Source organism: Homo sapiens, chromosome 5, assembly GCF_000001405.40.
Source record: "Homo sapiens chromosome 5, GRCh38.p14 Primary Assembly".
NCBI classification, from domain to species: Eukaryota; Metazoa; Chordata; class Mammalia; order Primates; family Hominidae; genus Homo; species Homo sapiens.
In genome coordinates this window covers 173,687,236-173,707,904 of record NC_000005.10, presented here as the reverse complement: position 1 = coordinate 173,707,904, position 20,669 = coordinate 173,687,236, and the positions used below count along the sequence as shown (strand labels likewise).

The 20,669-nt window shown below is 50.1% G+C and overlaps 2 long non-coding RNA genes across 2 annotated transcripts in view, besides 3 other annotated features; one reads left to right on the top strand and one right to left on the bottom strand.

Annotated features, from left to right (window-relative positions):
- Positions 1-306, top strand: part of LINC01484 (long intergenic non-protein coding RNA 1484) — a 38,611-nt gene extending 38,305 nt beyond the window's left edge. Inside the window, exon 3 of the long non-coding RNA NR_108027.1 lies at positions 30-306. This is a non-coding gene — a long non-coding RNA (long intergenic non-protein coding RNA 1484). The remainder of the gene's footprint in view (positions 1-29) is intronic.
- Positions 180-680: an enhancer, noted in NCBI's record as "H3K4me1 hESC enhancer chr5:173134228-173134728 (GRCh37/hg19 assembly coordinates)". NCBI's record gives its function as "activates a minimal SCP1, AML or CMV promoter by ChIP-STARR-seq in primed H9 embryonic stem cells {active_cell/tissue: H9 hESC(primed)}" and the evidence as "EXISTENCE:reporter gene assay evidence [ECO:0000049][PMID:30033119]".
- Positions 2,056-18,446, bottom strand: LINC01942 (long intergenic non-protein coding RNA 1942). The gene is made up of 3 exons (NR_146727.1): positions 18,352-18,446; positions 6,219-6,376; positions 2,056-2,315 (listed from the first exon to the last, which is right to left on the bottom strand). It is a non-coding gene; the product is annotated as a long intergenic non-protein coding RNA 1942 (long non-coding RNA).
- Positions 17,581-17,630: an enhancer, noted in NCBI's record as "active region_23659". NCBI's record gives its function as "activates an Ori minimal core promoter by ATAC-STARR-seq in GM12878 lymphoblastoid cells {active_cell/tissue: GM12878}" and the evidence as "EXISTENCE:reporter gene assay evidence [ECO:0000049][PMID:35858748]".
- Positions 17,731-17,810: an enhancer, noted in NCBI's record as "active region_23658". NCBI's record gives its function as "activates an Ori minimal core promoter by ATAC-STARR-seq in GM12878 lymphoblastoid cells {active_cell/tissue: GM12878}" and the evidence as "EXISTENCE:reporter gene assay evidence [ECO:0000049][PMID:35858748]".
- Positions 18,447-20,669: the final 2,223 nt, after the last annotated feature.

Here is a 20,669-nt window from a genome sequence, read left to right as displayed (position 1 = left end):
GTCATCTCCATGGTGCTGTCCTCTTGCAGGTCTCCAGGACACATGTGCATGAGTTCCTCTAGGAAACCACGGTGTACAACTGCTGGGTTGCAGGCCCAGGGTTCTTTCCACTTCTCTATCCTCCCAAGTAGGGTCCAGCTGGCCTTAGTGCTGCCATGCTGAGAGCTCTGGGAGGGGCAACCCAGGGCAGACAGGCCCAGGCCAGCCACCCTGCCCCAGGCATTTCCCAGGACTCATCAGGCACCCAGCGGCCCCTCAGCAGTGAGCAATACCAGAAATCTGCCAGCTGGCTACTAACTGGGTCACAAGAGAGTACTGCTGTCTCACTCAGGGTGCGTTCCATTTCCTTCAGCACTTGCGCCAAGTAAGGCTGTGTTCACAGGCCACAAGACCCAAGGGAGATGGAAATCAGCTCACAGATGCTGAGCTGACTGCACACCAGGCAGTGTGCAAAGCACCTTACACATATAACTCACTTAATCCTCATCCCTGACTGCACGAGGTGGGCACTATTATTAACCCCACTTTACAGATAAGAAACTGAGGCGCAGGAAGTTGAAAATTTTGCCCAGACCAACACGTACAACTTCAAATCCAGACAGCCTGGCCGCTCTGCTCCTACTACTCTGCTACCCCATCTCTCAAGAGGGGAAAAGGACTAGCTCCTTGCCCAATCCTGAGGTTGTCAGCATTCTTTTACTGGCAAGGAAAACAAATGGAACTTCAATGAATATATGTAGAAAGAAAGACTTATTAGCTGACAAAAATCAATAGAGAAAAGACAGGTTAGAAGCAGATCTCAGGGCCCACTGGGTCCAGGGAGGCGAAAGCGCCCCTCCTTCTCCGTCTTCCTCCTCCACGTCTCTCTTTGTGCTGTTTTCATTCTTTCCTATTGCAAAAGGGCCTCCTCCCCTGGGCAGGTAGGTGGCTGCCTGCAACTCTCACCTCACCTTCTCACAGATCTGCCTATTTCTATTTTAAAATACAAACAAACCAAAAGCCAGAGAAGGTTCCTGACAGGCCCAGGAAAGGATGTGATTAGCTTAGTCTGGGCCACCTGCCCATTTTTTATGGACTAAATGTTTGTGTGTCTCCAAATTGGTATGTGGAAGCCCTACCCCCAGTGTGACAGTATTAGGAAGTGGGGCCTCTGAAAGGTCATTAGGTTTCAATGAGGTCATGAGGGTGGGGGGATCCATGATGGAATTAGTGCCGTTATAAGAAAAGGAAGAGACACCAGAGTTTTCTCTCCACCATGTGAGGTTACAGCAAGAAGGCAGCTGTCTGCAAGCCTGAAGAGAGCCCTTACCAGGAGCCAAATCTGCCAGCACCCTGATCTTGGACTTCCAGAACTGTGAGAAATAAATTCCTGTTCCTGAAGCCACTCAGTCCGTGGGATTCTATTAGCAGTCGGGACTGACTTGGACACTGTTCCTGGAGCAACGCTAGTGGCCTGGGGAAGCTGGGCCCTGGGACTGGTGCAGGGAGGGCCACAGTCCCAGCCTATAGCAGCTGAAGCTGCATTTGTCCCCAGGAAGAGGACATCACAGACACAACCCCAGAGGCAGTGGGAGGGGGCATGATTGATTGGGAGCAAGGCAACAGTCTAACAGGGCCCATCTGTGCCCAGGAGTGGGAGAAGCTCCTGGCCATGAAGAGAGCCCTCACCAGAGGCCAAACCTACTAGGACCTTGATCTTGGACTTCCAGCCTCCTCCCTGGAAACACGTGACAGCACATATGGGTGGTCTCCCTTCTTGAGCGAGGCCTGAGTCTTCACCCAGGATCCAACTAGACTGAAAAGAACTGTCTCCCTAACAGCACTCCATCAGCATTCAGAGAAAAGAGATTTCCACCTGGTGTTTTTAACCAACACAACCTCCTTCTACACCCTAACCCATAGAGGGCCCTGGGACCAGTATAAGAAGTGTGGGTGTTAAGCTGGGACTGCTAGAAGGAGCAGCAGCCCCATGGGAGCAGGGCAGGAGGGTCCCCTCTTGACCTGCTGACTGCAAACACTGCAGCCGGAGAGACACTCACTCAGGCCACGGTGGGGAGGCCCAGGGGAGGCACGTGTCCTCATTCTGCTAAGGCGATAGGGCTCGGGCACAGGACAGGCGATTTGACATCAGAAAATCCTGCAGGGGCTGGCCTGGCCTCTAGATGCACGTCCTCCCCTTCAGACCCACCCCACACTCACCCAGCCCTGGGCTCCGGCCACTCCATGGAGCCCGTGGCAAAGGCCTGATGTGTCCTCAGTGAATCCAGGTCAGAGAGCGGTCGAGCAGCAACTTGGGGAGCCAAGTGGATGAAAATCTGGACAAGAGAACAAAGCCAACCTGTTGGCCAAGGAAACTCAATCCGATTATACCCCAGAGCCCCCCGTGGCTGGGAGCAGCCGTGTGACAGAGAAGAAAGGGTGCTTTCATGGGCCCGGCCCTGCCTGCTGGCAAATGGGCCCCACGAGTGCCCTGCCCCTTCTCCAGCGGCCCCACGGGATTGTCTGGGTGTGGGGAAGGAACCCCTCCATTGAGTCTCAGAGGAGACAGGATGGGGGAGACCGGCATCAGGATAAGCCTTGGCCAATGAATACCTTCAAAGTTAAGGCTCTGGAGATTTAAAAAAAAAAAAAAAAAAAAAAAGCCTGTGCGCGTTTGTCCTGGAAATTGGCTCATGGACAGATTAAATTTAGGAGTAACTGGGGCAGATATGCAGGGAAGCATGTTTCCTTAATGAGCCTGTCTTTATTTAACTGCTTAATCATTTACTGGGCCAAAAAATCTGGAGGTGACTCCGAAAGTCACGACGGTTAAGACAGTGACGGATTGAGCCCTTGTCAGGCCATTTCAGGGCCTGGCTCTGGTGACATCAATTCCCTGCTCCTGTCCTTGTCACCCCTGATGGGGCAAGGAGGGGCTACACTCACCGCCAGGATAACCCCAGCGTGGGTTATCAGCCATTTGGTTCCAGAACAGTTTTGCTTTGCCATTTCATTGTCCTCAAAGGGAGGCTCCTGGGATGGGCAATGTTGATTTGGGTGAGGCTTCCTCTTCTTGCCCTGACACCTCCTTCCTCCAGCCTCCTTCATTGCCTCTACTTCACTTCTCATTCACTCATTCATTCATTCATTCATTTGTTCAACTGTTTACACTAACATATGCCATGCACTGTGAGAAAGCCCAGGAGACACAGTGTGGCAAAGCCCGACGTAGCGGTTGCCCTCGTGAAGCTGCTTACGGTCCCGTGGGGAAGGCCGATTTTAATCAAGTAATTCCAAATTCGATCTTTACAACTGCAATAAATGCACTGAAGAAAAAGTGAAGAAAACTGGGCCCAGGGTAGAAGGAGGGGGGTGATGCGTAGCCGGAGCAAGGGGCAATTTTAAGGCAGAAAAACAATTCTGTATGGTACCGTAATGATGGGTGTGGAGACAACGCATTTGCCAAAACCCGTAGAACTGTCTAACACAGAGAAGGAAGCCTAAAGTAAACTATGAACTGGAGCTAATAATAGTGTATCAATATGGGTTCACCCATTGTAACAAATGTACCACACCAATGCAAGAGGTTAGCAATGGGGCAGACAACTGGGATAGTGGGCGGAGGGGATATACTGAAAGTTTCTGTATTTTCTGCAAACCTAAAACTGCTCTAAAAAATAAGGTCTACTTTTTTAAAAAGTGAAGAGAGCTATGAGATGATATTAAGGAACTTATCTACACTTGCGGGTCTGCAGAGGTGCTACTCGAAACCAGACTTGGATTGACCTTCATCTGGCCATGGCTGCAGGGTCTGCCTGCAGGTCTCCTTTCCTCTGCAGGGTGTGGGGACCCACTGTTTCGTGAGTGCCTGTCACCTGCAGCTCATCACCGGGCACTGCCCACCTGTTCCATTTGTGATGTGGGGGTGATCTTCTGGGGGTATACTAGAACTAAGATAAGGAAGGCGAGGGGAAGCAAAAGGGTATAGCTCGGAACAACAGAGCCAGCATCAAAACATAATTTCATATTTTTGGAAGACAAAAAAAACCCTTTCATTTCATAATACAAATTGTGGGAAAGTTGGACAAAGTGTTCTTGGCTGGTAAATGTGCATGAAATACTTATCAGTGGGGCGGTATAGAAAGGTGGAGTCTTCCACAAGGAAGGCAGAGATGTCTGTGTTTAGCAAAAGGGACATGGGCTAGAAAAGTTTGGAAACACTGCACCATCTCACGTGAACTCACTGCCACATGGTGAGCAAGATAACAGAGTCTTCGCTTTCCAGAAGGGTCAACCAAGGCTCAAAAAGTTTATGTCACATGCTCATGTCACACAACTAATACATTGCAGGGGCAGAATTGGAACTCCAACTAGACACACAAATGTAATATCCATCACTGCTGACAGGGTCGTGTAGAGGGCTCTAGTGGACATTAGGGGCATTCTTTGGGGGACTTAAATTCATGGACAGAGTGTCAACTGGGGATTGGGTTCTGGGCTCGTCACCCTCTGCCTTGATAGCATGTGTGGGACAATGGCAGGGAGTCCCCCGTGGCAGACAGTCCTTCAGGAGAGAGAGGAACCTGTGATCTTGATGCAGTCTAGACGCTGGGGGCACCAGCCTAGGAAGTAGAGTAAAAGCCTCATTCGTCTGGACATCACTAACGCTGTGGGACACTGTTACCCTGAGCTGGGCTGAGCTGAAGTCCAGGCTGCTCCTAGGTGCTAAGAAAGGGCTATAGAGCAAGTGATAGAATAAGATGGGTGAGAGAACACCTAACCAATTTCAGCTAACTCTGCAAGTGTTTTGGATATTTGCATCTAAAAGAAAACTAGGTGTGATCAGACACAGCGGCTCCCGCCTGTAATCCCAGCACTTTGGGAGGCTGAGGTTGGAGGATGGCTTGAGGCCAGGAGTTCAGTGGGCATGATCACACCACTGCACTCTAGTCTTAGTGACAGAGCAAGCCCCTGTCTCAAAAGTCAATCAATCAATCAGTGTAGGAGCAAATAAAATCATGTAGTGGATGATTTCAAATGCATGTTCCCCTCTTTCTCCAAAAAGCAGATCCAAGGGGACTTCCACTAGGCTATGTGTCATGAGCAGTGTTAGGACATGAAAACAATAAGCATGACAACACAGTGGGACTTGGTGCAGTCCCATTGGGATCTTTGCCATGGTGGACATGTCCCCATCTGCACTGTCCAATAGAGTAGCCACTCTCCAGATGTGGCTACCGAATACCTGTGATGTGGCTACTGTGCAGAAGGAACTGTGCTTAATTTAACTTAATTATCTGCTGAAAGTAAATAGCCACAGGTCTAAACTGGCTACTGCTTCAGACAACACAGACTTAGATGGCTCCCTGAGGTGGTGTGACTTCTCTCCCTGTTTAATTCAAATTCTTCCTCTGAAGGCTGCAGCCTAGCAGCAGCTCACCTCCATGGGATGGCCCACCGTCCCAGAGGCTTGCATGCCTCCTGGATTGGCACAAAAGCCTGGGAGGGAGGCCCATGAGAATACCTGTGGCCCAGAGAAGAAAGGGACTTGCCCCAGGTCTCGCAGCTCTGAGGGGGCAGAATGGGACTCAGAGGTGAGGCCCCTGAGGCCCGTGTTTTCACCTATGCCCTTGTGCTCCAAGCTACCTGGCAGAAGAGGCATTTATTTCTCCAGGTCAGCAAGCAAGACTGGCTGGCTTAGGATGGCCCTTCTGGCTACTGAGAGCTATAAGAAATAAACATTTGCTACCAACAAACAAATATAAATACATACATATGTATATGCACGCGTGTGCGTGTGCGTGTGTGTGCGTGTGTGTGTGTGTATCAAGCACCAGGCCCTGGGGCCACCACACTGCAGAGAATAGTCAGGCTCCCTCCTGCCCCGTCTGGAGCTTCCAGCCCAGTGAGCACACCACAGGCACCCAGCTGCCTGAGCTGTGAGGATGGGGCTTTGGAGACAAGGGGACAAGCCAGGAGTCCTTGAGTCCCTAGTATCTGATTCCCAAAAGGCACTCTGCACTTAAAAAAAAAATGAGAAAAGAAGGAAGAAAATAAATGAGTTTCAACTGACAAATAGGCTTGGGAATCACTGAAAACAATATTTCTCCTCCAGGAGTCTGACAAATGCTCCTTAGCATCTTAAAGAAAGGGACAGGGAGGAGAGAGGCAGTCGGAGGAGTGGACAGAGGCCTGGATTTAGCCTGTGTCACTCCAAGTCCTTGCTCTGTCCCACTTACCAGCTGGGTGACTTTTGGGAGGAGCCTCTCCAAGAGTAAGTCTGTGCATCTGTGAAACAGGAATGACGTGAGTACTACGTCTTTTATACGCCAGGGTGTAGGTCTGCGCCCGGTCTTGGGTGATGCTCAGTGAATTACCAAGTCTCTTTTTCTTTCACCTGGTTGGGAAGTGGAGGGCAAGGAGGGGAGGGGAATAAAGGGAGGTTGAACAATGATTATCTCTCTGGCCAGCCTGGGCAGACCTTGACCATTAGGTAAGGAACGGGGACCTCTAATTAGCAGTCACCTGCCTCCTTGCAGAGCATGCAGTATCCTGGACAGCGGAACTGAGCAAAGCCCATGCACTCGGCCCCAAACCTCCCAGCTCTTCACCTGCCCAGGGTTCTATCCCAGCTTGGTGTCCTTGCCTGCAAGCACAGGGTAGCTTCACAGCGAGACCTGGCCTGCCCTGCAAGTCCACACAACAGGAGCCCACCATGGCCCAAGCCATGCCGGCCACACCAAGTCCTGCAGGAGAATGTGAGCGACCTCCCGGGACCATGAGGCAAGCCGTTAGGAACGAGCATTGACACACCCTCCAGTTTTCTGGCAGAGGCAAAATTAAAATGTAACACCACCTCCCCGAGGCCACCTCTTTGGATGGTAAATCAGGAAACCTGGGCTGAGTTCTAGTTTTACAAACTTTCTGGCTGTGGACACAGTCACCTCCTTTCACATCCTATGTCCTAGGTAAAAGACACTAGGAAAGCAAATTCACCTATCCAAGCTTCCATTTCCTCATCAGAAAAATGAAAGTGAAAGGCCGGGCGCGGTGGCTCACGCCTGTAATCCCAACACTTCGGGAGGCCGAGGCGGGCGGATCACGAGGTCAGGAGATCGAGACCATCCTGGCTAACACGGTGAAACCCCGTCTCTACTAAAAATACAAAAAAATTAGCCAGGCGTGGTGGCAGGTGCCTGTAGTCCCAGCTACTCGGGAGGCTGAAGCAGGAGAATGGCGTGAACCTGGGAGGCAGAGCTTGCAGTGAGCCAGGATCGCGCCACTGCACTCCAGCATGGGCGACAGAGCGAGACTCTGTCAAAAAAAAAAAAAAAAGATGAAAGTGAGGATACCTACCTCTCCTATTTGGGCAGTACTGGACTTACAGTAAGGATCGGCTAGGCTGGTGGTCTTCAAAGTGTGATCCCGGGACCAGCAGCACCAGCATCACTTGGGAACTTGTTAGAAATGCAAATTCCTGGGTCCCACCTCAGACCTGCTGAATCAGTAACTCTGGGGGTGGGACCCAGCAATTTATGCCTTAATGAGACCACCAGGGATTTCTGACACTTGCTGAAGCTTGCCAAGCACTGCATTAAGTGGTAGCTGTCTGGGGGTTGTTGATATTCTCAAAAACCCTGCAAGCTGAGTCTGACTATAGCAAGGCTTGTGGTCAGACAAACAAGGGAGAAGTCCTGTTATCTCCACTTTTCGCCAGTGGCCTCAGGCAAGCTGGTTGGTCTCTCTGAGGCTCAGCTTTCTCATCCTCCAAATGGGAGTAATACTTGACTGACAGATTGCCCTAAAGCACCTCAGCTTATGTAAAGCCCTGATCTGGGCGCCTGGAACATTAGAACTGCTTGCTAACTAGAAGTTACTATTATTGCTGTTGTGGTTATTGTTTTCTTCTTAAACCATCAGGTGCCAGAGGTTTTTGTTTCTTTTTTTTTTTTTTTTTTTTTTTGAGACAAGGTCTTGCTCTGTCACCCAGGCTGGAGTGCAGTGGAGCAATCTCGGCTCACTGCAAGCTCCGCCTTCCAGGTTCACGCCATTCTCCTGCCTCAGCCTCCCGAGTAGCTGGGACTACAGGCACCCGCCACTACGCCCCGCTAATTTTGTTTGTATTTTTAGTAGAGACGTGGTTTCACCGTGTTAGCCAGGATGGTCTCGACTCCTGACTTCGTGATCCGCCTGCCTCGGCCTCCCAAAGTACTGGGATTACAGGCATGAGCGACAGCGCCCAGCGCCAGAGATTTTTGTTTCTAAAAATGGTCAAGTTTCTCTGGCATAAATCTCCGCTCATACTGCCATCATACCCCAAAGAAAGTCCCCAAAAGGACTGGCAAGTAAATTGCCAAAGGGCCCTCTGCTACCCATCATATGGTGGGCTTTCCAAGTTTGAATAAGGCAGAGGATTTCAATTACCCAGGATTACAAAGGAGGGCCTCGGATGCACCATATGGCCCAGGCCTGGCCGCCCATCGTCCTGCATGATCGGAGACTCTCGTGTGAGATATTAACATAATATCCCTTCCAAAAGCGATTACAGAGTTGCAGGCAGCAGAATGTCATTTGGTGGCCGTGGCCCGCTCTCATCAGCAGCGATGACTAAACAAACTAATCAAATCAGCACAAATTTGCACACAAGCCCAGCCGCTGGGCCTGGATATCATTTCGGTGAAGGCATAATTCTGCCTAGGATGACTTGACTAATGGGCTCCCGGTGGGCAGCCAGGCCAGCCTGCAGGGCGAGGGCGGCAGCACCCACAGGCAGCCACAGCCAGGGGCCCGGAAGGTACAGAGGCTGTGGGAGCAAACAGCAAACAGAGGGGGAGGAGAGGCAGGGAAGACACCTGTGCATTCATCACTCCAGTCTCAGTATGGGTGTATGAGCACGCGCGCACGCGCGTGTGTGTGTGTGTGTGTGTGTGTGTGTGTGTGTGTGTGGCCGCCCCATGCACCTCCCCTAGCTTCCTGAGAACACTGGCTCCAGAGCTGCTTTGTTTCAAGCCTCAGTTCTGTATTTTACTGAGTGTCCTTGAGCAAGATACTAAACATCTCTGAGCTCAGTGTCCTCATTCATAAAAATGGGGATAGTGTTTGATCTTAATTATTGAGGCTGCTATGAGGATTCAATAAAATAATATAAATAAAGTCCATCACGCAGTGTCTAATGCAAGGAGTATTCAGTGAATGGCAATTGTTACAACTATTATTACTGTTCAACAGTCTTCACCATGGACCTTCCACGGGTCAGGCCCAGGTCCTGGGAATGTCAAATTAAGGAAGGCCCTGTACTTGCCTCAAGGTGTGCACAATAAAATGGGGTGATGGACCCATAACCAGATAGTCACGCTATCCTGTGGGAAGTGCTGTGGGAGTCGCAGGGGGCTGAGAGCAAAGCGGGGGTGCCTTCACCCTGGGGCCCCAGGAAATGGTACTAGAGAAAGTGAGGCTACAGGTGAGTTCTGGACACTGAGTGGAATTTCCATAGCAGCCTGGCCAGGAAGTGGGAGTCCCGTGAGAGGGCAGACAGGTGCCTGCTGTGAGGGATGGAAACTGGGGGCGTTTACCTTCCTGCTTACACGCCAGCAGGCCATCTGCCGAAAGACTGAGGGCTTCTCAAGTATGAGGCAAGATCAGAACTTGCAGCAATGTCTGAAGAGGCTGGGATAAAGAGGACACATTTCCAGGTGTGTAAATGACAGAGGGTGCAGAGGGAGGCATTGCAGGTCCTCAGGAAGAAAAAGGTAGTAGGGGAGGTGTCCGCTGGCAGCCTGGAGGACTGGCTTCCTGCACGTTTCGGGGCAAACCCCGCCCTGTCTCTACACTCCATTTGCAGAGTGGAGGGCCAGCAGGCTCAATGCCTCCCACCTGCACTGACTTTCCTTCTATTCCACAACATTGCCACAGCCTAGGAAGCCTGCAGCATTCATGACTTAATACTTGTCTCCCAAACAGCAACCTCTTAAAACCTAAATCACTAACCTAAAGGAGGTCTTTATAATGTTACTGTCATTAATGAGCTGGGACCATTTGCCACTGATAGAAGGTAACAGTAGAAGTAAAATGAAAACTGAATGAGGAAGGTTACAGGCTTTAGTTAGAGGCTGGTCCTTCCTAAACACTTGGAGGGTGGGTGAAAGGAGACTGGCAAGTGTTAGGGGACGTGTTAAAGAAACGCCAGCACCCAGGTGAGACCCTTCTCCCTGCGTGATCACAGGCTTGAAGGAGAACTGAAGAGGGACTGCAATCCTCACTGCTTAACATGTTATTTAGAACCAGGCTTATGCACCATCTCCCTGTCCTCGCAGACCCCAAGTAATCACCCCCATCTATTGCCCCCCCTACACACACACTTTGGGAAATGCTGGTCCCAATAATCTGGATAAGCTATAAGCCCTTCGATGCTGTGAATTCAACACTTCGGAATAGGTAGGAGTGACTGGATGTGAACCACCAGGTCACTGCACCTGTCCTCCTCTCTGAGCCCCTCCCTAGTCCTACCCAATGAATGCAGACCTGGTGCCACTCCTAGGAGGTGCTGAGCCCAGCCATGGGGCCCTGGTATGGTTCCATAGATGGCAGTGCTCAGTGTGGTCTCCTCAGATTCTTGCCTGGAGGCATCTCAGGAAGGCCATCCCGCGACCCTCTCATGGTCCTACATCAGGGATATCTGTTTCCATGGCCTCCCTTCACCCACCAGCCCAGCTCAACCCCTACCTGCAACTCTAGCCCTGTGACTTCCTTCACCCCTCACTCCCAAAATGGAGGCGAAGCTCACCAAAGGCCAAGGCTGCCCTGACTACCCAGCTCCAACTGGTTGCCTCATCCGACTCCCCAGCTGCCTCCCTTTTCTCCAAAGACCTGGCTTCAAATTCTACCTCTGCTACTTGCCTGCTGGGATCTTGGACCACTTGCTTCACCTCTCTGAAACTCAGTCTCCTCATCTGCATCTTTGTCTCATCAGCTACAATGTAACTGATCTCATGAGTTTTTATTTTTTGAGAATCAAGTGAAATGATATAGGCAAACTCACTGAAATGCTGCTCAAGGGACTGAACAAATGAATGAGTGAATAATTGAATGAATGAATGAACCTAGGAGGCTTCTAATAGATGAAGAACTGGATGCAAAGTCTAGAGACCAGGGTTCAAGCCCCAGTCCAGAACTTTTCCTTCCTGAGCTTTAGTTTCCCTAACTGCCAGCAAAAAGATTAAATTTAGATGACCACAGAGATTGTTTCCAACTTTAAATGCTAAACTATGATTCAGGGTGTGAGACCAGCAAGCATACTTTTGCGAGCCCTTGCACAAAACCCAAAGCACAGGCTACACCTATAATTTCTCCAAAGCTGGGAGGCATAGGCAGGAAGGTGGCTGGCTGAAGAGTCAAGGCCAGATGAAAAAGCAGTCTCCCTTTTGCAGCAGAGTTGGCAAATGTTTAATAGCACAGGTAAAAATCACAGCCCTGCCATTTCCTAGCTGTGCAATTATCTGAAGAAAGTAATGTGAGTTGCGGGCCTCAGTTTTCCTCATCAGGATAATGGGCATAATTTTACCGTCCTCCCTGGCATGTTATGAGGATGGAAAGACAGTGTTGACTCTTACCACTTGCTCATTCTTGCTTCCTACATGTAGCAAACTCTCAACAAATGGTAATATGCTTACTTTTAACATTTTAAATGACCGTTATCCTGTTATAAGCAACAACCTTCACATTGAATACAACGGTCTAAAACTAAAGGCAGGAAGGGCCCTTTAGTGATGGCAAAGGAGTTTGGAGTTGCTCTGTTCTTCCACATCCTCCCCCCCACCACACACCTGGTCACCTGACGCAGCCAAACCTGCATAGGCCCAGAGGGATGGCAGAGGCGACCCTGCTGAGAGAGGAGCCCGGTCTTAGGGATGGACAGTGGCCCCATCCAGCTCCTGCCCCTTCTCAGTCCAGCTGAGCACACTCTGCCCTGGGGCCCTGGAGGCTGGTGTGGAGACCCCCAGCCCTCACCCTTCACACACTCACATCCCTGACACCTCTCAGGCCCACGTCACAACCTCAATAGACAGAAATTGAACATGCGCAGGCAGATGTGTGTGTTGGTGAGCACACAGCGGGCTGAGAGGTTACCAATATCAGAGGGAAGATGAGACCCTGAGTCTGAATCCTGCTGCCACCAACTCTGCAACCAGTGCAAATGACTCCACCCCTCCGGGCCTCAGTTTCCTCCTCTGTAAATGAGGAATTGTTGTAAGAATGAAGTTAAAAACCATTCAGGGAGCCCAATTAGCACAGAGTCCAGGTCACAGTTCACACTCCATCGATCCCGTCTTTTTAAAAACATTTTTAAGGGATCGCAGGTATATTTCCCTTCCCTACCTCACAGGTGGAAACCTGGGATTAGTAAAGTAGAAATCAGGAAGGAAACGTCAGCTCTTAACAGCTCCCTGGCTTTCTGAGCGAGGAAGCAGTACAACAACTTGTGAAATGGGGTTAAAGCAGGGCCCTTTCACCCTGACTGCAAATTTGAGTCGCCTGGGAAGGTTTGGAAAACCCAGTGCGGGGGCCACATCCCTGGCCAGCTACTTCAGACCCCCTGGGGTGGCAGTGGTGGAGGATTATGTTAGCCTCCCCAGGGACTTTCAGTGTGGAGCCAGGCTTGAGAACCAAAGGTTTAGATCCAAAGGATGAGCTTGGGTTCAGACCAGGCCAGCCCAGGTTGAATCCTGGCTCTATTCCTTATCAGTGTGGTCCTGTACGAGCCACTCAATGCACTCGAGTCTTGGTGCTTTAATTTGTGCAAAAAAAATGGGAATGATATAGAGATTCAGTGAGACATCCGGTGAAAGCGTGAGGCCAGGCATATATTAAGCACTCAATAAATGAGAGCCTCCTACCCTATGGGGCCTTCCAACCAATTTATATGTACAACAGATAGGACATTTAGTGAAGGCAAATGCAGCCGCAAACCATTACAAGACCATTACATTTACCTATGTATTTATTTATTTTTATTTGCTTGTTGATGTTTGTTAAACCCTACTTTGTTGTATTAATAGAAAAAAATGTAAGACTGCCAGGTATGTCTGCATTACAAATATCTATCCTGAAGTTATTCAAAATAGCACCTTTCGCTAGCAGATGTGACTGCCTCTGGTTTGGTTCCCCATTATTGAAAGGGACATCTAGCCGGGCACAGTGGCTCATGCCTGAATCCCAGGACTTTGGGAGTCCAAGGCGGGCAGATCACCAGAGGTTGGGAGTTCGAGACCAGCCTGACCAATATGGAGAAACCACGTCTCTACTAAATATACTAAATTAGTGGGATGTGGTGGCGCACGCCTGTAATCCCAGCTACTTGGGAGGCTGAGGCAAGAGAATTGCTTGAACCCAGGAGGCAGAGGTTGCGGTAAGCCAAGATTGTGCCTTTGCACTCCAGACTAGTCAACAAGAGCAAAACTCCATCTCAAAAAAAAAAAAAAAAAGAAAGAAAGAAAGAAAGGGACATCTCTTTGAGCTATGCAGTGGAGCTGGGTGCTAATGAAGTCAGGCGGGCCTGATCCCCGGTGACAGCTGCTCCTTCCCATGTTCTCAGATGGGCCCTCATGCCCACCAGCCATTTGCTTGGTATTGGGAGGAGCTGCTTTGGGACCCTGCAAACCTGTCCTGGTTACAGAGACAATCACAGCTCACAGGCCACCAGTGCCTGGTGCAGGGTGGCTGGCAGAATGTTCCAGAAAGGACAGTGCATGGAGGAGGACTCAGGAGAGCCAGGTTCCAGGCTTGACACTGGTGAAGCTCACTGGCTATGTGGCTCAAGCAGCTCCTTCTGCCTCTCTGAACCTCAGTGTCCCCTCCTCTCTAAAATGGGGATGGCCAAGACTGCCTGCCTACTCCACCCAGTCCTCATGCGGTTTCAGGGTGAAAAGGGTGGAGGGCACTGGATTTGTTTGCTGTGGCTGCTGTGACAAACTACCACAAACTGGGTAGCTTCAAACAACCATTTCTTATCGAAGCATTCCAGAGACCAGAAGTCCAAAGTCAAAGTGTGGGCGGGGCTGCACTCCCTTTGCAGGCTCCGGGGGAAAATCCTTCCTTCCTCCTCCAGCTTCTGGTGCTTGTTAGCATCCCTTGGCTTGTGGCTGCATCTCTCCAATCCCTGTCTCCAGTCATTATCTCTGCTTCTCCTGTCAGGCTTCTCCTCTCTGCGTGTATTGTAAGGACACTTGTCATTGGATTTAGGGACCACACAGATAATCCAAGATGACTGCATCTCAAGATCCTTAACTTAATTACGTCTGCAAAGACCCCTTTTCCAAATGAGGTCACATCCATGAGTTCCTGAGATCTGGATGTGGGCATATCTTTTTTTCCAGTGGCAGGGAGCAGCGTCAACACTCAGCCCGCTGCAAGCAGCTCATAAGTCATTTTAGTGAACATGAACTGCATCCTGTTGCTAGGGGCAGTAGATTTGAGAGTGCATGCCAGCCTGATGGGTTGGTGATGGTGTCCTGGAGAGTAAGAGCACATGATAAAGGAGCAGCTGGTATCTGCCAGGCAGTGCACTGAGTACTTTGACAATTTATCTCATTTTATCTTCACAGCAAGATACATTTATCTTCCCCTTCCTCAGATGGGGAAACTACCTGAGGCTCAGAAGCACGAAGTGACTTGGCCGAGGTCACTCTCACAGTAAGAAGTGGAGCTGGCATTTGAACCCAGGCAGGCTGTGATTTCACAGGCCATGCTCATAAACACTGCTATCCACTGCCTCCCACAGATACAAGCGGGCCTGAGGTTGGCAGGGAAAGAGGCCACAACTAAGGACCACATGTGGCAGGAGGCCTCGTAGGTCATATCCGTGCGTAGTTACAACAATAATGGTAACTAATGTTAATAATCACAATAATAATCACAGCTAATGATGATGACACTAACATTACATGTGGTGTTGTGATCATGGGATCTTCCTACAGCCAGACACCGTGCTGTGTGCTTTTAGTGTATTATCTCATTTAATCTCACTAGCACTGCGAGGAGGAACCTACTGTTATCCCCATTTACAGGCTGGCCCAAAAATCCATGGACTGTAATATGACAACTCACAAAAACAAAGAACTCACAGGGAGAAGAGAACAGGGTGGAGAAGCCACAAAGCTGGGGCAAATTACTAAAAAGAAATGTGTTTCAGAATGTCCTGGTTTTCAGCTTGGCCCTTGCCCCCTCACTGAGTAAGACTGCAGTACCTTGCTGTCTGCATCTCATTTCCAGAGAGGGCTCAAGGAAGCCCCAAGTCCAGTCTGCCCAGAACCGAGCATGTCATCTCCCCCGCCAAGACGCTCCAACCGCCGCAATCCTTGTCCATCAGGCATCCAGGCCAGAAACTCTGGCTGCCCCCACCTCCCCAATGGTCCCCATCAAGTAGGTAACATCCTGCTGATTTTAACTCCTGTGCAGCCCTCAAATGCACAACTGCCTCCCATTCCTGCACAGTGCCCCAGTTCAGGCCTTCACCACCTTGTTCCTGGGCCACTGCCCAAGTCTCCCCCGACTGCTGTCTGGACTTCTAATACTTTTCCAACTCCCCACTCATTAAATCCATCCCCCTCTCATTAGCTGGTGTGAATTGAGGAAAACTGAGTTCCAGCCATGTCATCCTCATACTCATGACCCTTCCAGGCCTGCAGGACCTAGTTCAAACTCCTTAACTGCATGTACAGTACATGCCATTATCACCTGCCACTTCCTCCCTTTTCATCCTTATCTTCCACCCCTCCTTCAATCATGACTCAGCTCCCCAGCACTGACCTGGTTGTAGCTCCCCATCTACAATGTGCTGTTTGCACCTCAGGGCCTTTGCACAGGCAGGTCTCCCTGAGGAAATGCCATTCCCACCTTCCTGGTCTCTCTGTCCCATTTTCCAGCTTGCATACTCTTTGAGGGCAGGGACTGTGTCTGTCTTGTTCACAGTTTTATCCATAGTCTCAGGATAAAGCCTGGGTCATACATAGGAGGGGATTTTTTTTGTTTTTCTTTTCCTTTTTTTTTTTTTTTTTTTTTGGTTTTTTGTTTTTTTGAGACACAGGCTTAGGCTGTCACCCAGGCTGGAGTAAAGTGGGGTGATCTCGGCTCACTGCAACCTCCGCCTCCCGGGTTCAAGCGATTCTCCTGCCTCAGCTTCCCGAGTAGTTGGGACTACAGGCGTGCACCACCAAGCCCAGCTCATTTTTGTATTTTTAGTAGAGACAAGTTTCACCATGTTGGCCAGGCTGGCCTGGAACTCCTGACCTCAAGTGATCCACCTGCCTCGGCCTCCCAAAGTGCCGGGATTACAGGCAGGGGCCACAGCGCCTGGCCTTTGGGTTTTTTTTTTTAATGTTTTAATTAATTGCCAATATTTCAATGTTGGGTGATTTCATAAAAATTCAAATTCAGGCTTCTCTTGAAGATATTGGGATCTGGCAACCCTGAGCCTGGTCCCTGAATGACAAGAATGGGCTGGGTTGGAGTAGCTGCTGCCGCTTCCACCAGGTCACTGGCTGTCCAGTCCTCACTGGCCCACCCAGCCCACTTCGTTCATCTTTGTCACCTGCCTGGCCCTTCTGGTGTTTGAATTTTCAGGTGTCGGGCACATCGAATTTAGCTATGAAATCCTTCACTTATGCACATACTTATTTGGTCTCCGATATGTGGCATGCCACATATCGGAGGCCAAATAAGCTGACACTTACATCAGATTAAACCTGCTTTTCTTAGCAAAGAGAGAAACAAGATCAGTCACAAAGAGTCATTTATGCCCACGAGATTTTAAAAAGCACAAGCTGTCCAAAGTCAGCGCAGGCATCCTCATAATGAGGACAGAGGGACGGGTCCTCCAAAGCAGCGCTTCTCCAACTTTAATGTGTGCAGGAGTCACCTGCGGCGTCTGCTAAACTGCAGGTTCACATGCAGTGGGTCTGGGACAGGGTGTGAGACCATGTTTCTAACCATCTCCCAGGTGAGGACAATACTGCTGGTCCCTGGACACACTTTCAGTAGCAAGGCTCTGTGACATCCCTGCAACAAACTAGAGGGTCCTAACCCCCGGATACCTCGGCCATCTCCTGGAGGCAGTGCCACCACCCCTCCTGCCTGGACAGAATGTGTTGTAGGTCATTCAGGTATTCTTGGAATCCACCTCTGGTGTCACCACTGGTGCTGAAGGTAGGAAGCCCTGTGCTTGGAATTCCCAGCTGCTTCACTGTGGTCCAGGACAGGGAAGCATGGGAAGCAAGGGACACACAGCAAGTGGAGTGGGGTGACGGTGGGGGTGAGGGTGGGGGTGATGAGTAGGGTGGGATGAGGTTGGGTGGGGCGAGAGTGGTGTGAGGATGGGTGGGGTGGCAGGGCCCAGCAATTTATGCCTCTACAGGTGCCCTTCCCATTCCCCACTCCCTACCACCCTTGAGTCCCAAAGTGGGTTGTCTCACGGGGTCTGAGATGCTCCCAGAGGGACCAGAAGACCTGGGATCGAATCAACCTTAGTCACAAACCCCAAATTGCAAGTGTGTCGTTTTGAGCAGCCTTCACAGGCAAGCTCATGTTCCCGGCCTGCATATTATTTTTCCAGGCGGCGGGAGGGAAACCCTTTGCCCTCCCACATCACGGATCTCAGAGGAAGCAGAAAGAAATTGACACAGGCAGAATGGGTCTCAGGGGCTTCTCACCCTGAGCCTGTAAACAGGAAGTGCAGCTATACTCTCAGGAACACCCTGGTGTTTGCCGGTTTGTTTTGCAGCCTTTGGGCCCATTCAGATAAACAGAGGAGAGGATTGCCAGAAACTCACTGAGCCCTTCATGGCACTCCCTATCTCGGCAAGGTTTGGTGATACCAAGGCTGCTGGCCAAAGATTTGCATGGGGGGAGGGACGGGGCCCGTGCTATTGGCTGCAGGGAGGGTCCCACCTTCCCCAAAGTCCCCTTCTGCCATGCCCTGAAAGAAATATTTCTCGGGGCCATCAAGGGTGGAGAAGCCAACCTGTCCCTGGTGGCTGCAGCTGGCATAAAGCCGGCTGCAGCAGCGGGCAGGAGGAAACAGGAGATGGGGTGCCAGGCCCATATCAGGCTGCCTGCTCTTGGCTTTCATTATTGTCCTATGTTTTCAAAGTACCAGCTCCGGAGGGGGCAGGAGAGGGTAGAGTTTTGAGACTTGTTCGGCCTAGGTATACATAAACAGCAGCAGACAAAATGTCCTTTATCAGCTATTTCCCAGGAAACAGGGAGAAAATTCTTCTCAGCTCCAGATGATTAAAGAAGAGACTCACCCTTCTGGGAGACAGCCCTCTCTTTTTCCCTCTCCCCTTTGCGGAACACTAAGGCACTGTTCCGGATACCCACCAGGAGGGTCCCTGTTGGAGAGGAGGCAGCCACAGGGCTGGAGGAGGAGGTCAGCTGCTAAGGGGACCAGTTCACTGCCAGCCGGGGCACAGAAATTCTTTCCCAGGAAAGGGGATGTTACGTAGCCTGCTGGGTAAACTGGAAATTATTAACCAGGGGATGAGTAGAATCAAAAGGTTTTGAAAACTGGTTATTGGCTCTACTGGGAGTTGCAAGCATGCTAGGGAAAAAAATATCACAAACCTATTTGGAATTTTTTTTCCCCCTGAACCAGGAAGAGGCGTTTGTAATAATTCTGTCAAGTGAAGCTCTCCAGTGTTCTTTCCTGCTGGTATGTCAACGGTGGTTTTGTTATTTCTTCACACAGATGGCCAAGGAAACAATGTATTTTTCTTTTCTTTCTTCCTGGTTTTTCCCCCCGCAAAAGAATTTGAGTCTTTCTAAGCTGGCCATTTCTTATTTTTTTCCTATTTCTGATTTAGATAAAATGGTGACTTCAAAGGGCCTTTGAGACCACTTACATCACAGTAGAGTTTGAGGTTCCCTCTCATCATAAAAATAAAATAGGTGCCACCTCCCACCATGGTCAGTGAGTGTCTGGATCTGCGTGGGTGCCTCACAGCAGGGCTTCTCCAAGGCATGATGTGTGTGCAGACCACTTAGGGATCATTAGAAGAGCCTGACTCAGCAGTTCAGGGCCCTCGGTGTCGGCATTTCTGACCACTCCCATGGGGTGCCCATGCTGCTGGTTTCTGGACCACTCATTGAGAAGGAGGGCTTCTTCCCCCAATCTCATCTAATCAACCCTCATCTCTAGTTGGCAGGATTGAATTTATTTAAAGAAGCTGAGGGATTTCCCCTTTGAAAGAGAGGCAGACAGGCCTTAAGCAATCTTTTTTTTAATTTTTATTTTTTATGAGATGGAGTTTTGCTCTTACTGCCCAGGCTGGAGTGCAATGGTGCAATCTCGGCTCACTGCAACCTCTGCATCCCGGGTTCAAGAGATTGTCCTGCCTCAGCCTCCAGAGTAGCTGGGATTGCAGGCATGTGCCACCACGCCTGGCTAATTTTTGTATTTTTAGTGGAGACAGGGTTTCACCATGTTGGCCAGGCTGGTCTCAAATTCCTGACCTCAAGTGATCCACCCACCTCGGCCTCCCAAAGTGCTGGGATTACAGGTGTGAGCCACCGTGCCTGGCCGGCCTAAGCAACATTGAATCTGCCTTTGGAACAGGCGGTGCTGACATGGCACAGTGAGCAGATGTAAGTAAGATACCTGTGGGTACAACACGCCCGGGCTCGAGACATCCTCCCTGAGCTGCGAAAGAGGGGCATATAGACTTTGGGTTTTGGAGGCAGAAAGGTAAAAGTTCAAATCCCAGCTCTCCTACTTACTAGCTGGATGGCCCTGGGTAAGTCATGTCACCTCTGTGAGCCTTAGTAAATGGGGCTGTAAAATGGGGGTAAACTCTACCCCCGAGGGTTATGGTAAAGAGCAAATGAGAAAACACACATAGAGCACCTTGCATCTGCCCAGCGCCTCATATCTGCACAATAAATGGTAACTTTTCATTTACCCAGCAAAGTCAATGAATACCTACTAATTTCCTGGTCTGTTCTCCACACTAGACATATAAAGGGAAAAAACAGATATGGTGGTCAGAATAATGCGCCCCAAAGATGTCCATGTCTTAATCCCTGGAATTAGTGAATATGTAATCTTACATGGCAAAAGGGATTGTGAGATGCGATTAAGGCTAAGGACCTTGGAATAGGGAGATTATTCTGGATTATGCAAGTGGGTCCAATGTAATCATGTGGGGATGAAGGCAAAGAAACTTTCCCGGCTATGGTCAGAGAGAGATGCAATGGCTTGGAGGACGGAGCAAAAAGCCACGAGCCAAGAAATGTAGGCAGCCTCTAGAAGCTGAAAAAAGAAAAAAAAAAAAAGATTCTTCCCTAGAAGCTTCCAGAAAGGAATGCAACTTACACCTGTGTTGCACTTCCAACCTACACAACTATAAGATAATATATCTGTATTGTTTTGGCTGGGGGCGCGGTGGCGCATGCCTGTAATCCCAGCACTTTGGGAGGCTGAGGCAGGTGGATCACCTTAGGTCGGGAGTTTGAGACCAGACTGACCAACATAGAGAAACCCCGTCTCTACTAAAAATACAATTAGCCAGGCATGATGGGGCATGCCTGTAATCCCAGCTACTCAAGAGGCTGAGGTAGGAGAATCGCTTGAACCCAGGAGGTAGAGAGCTTGCAGTGAGCTGAGATTTCGCCATTGCACTCCAGCCTGAGCAACAGGAGTG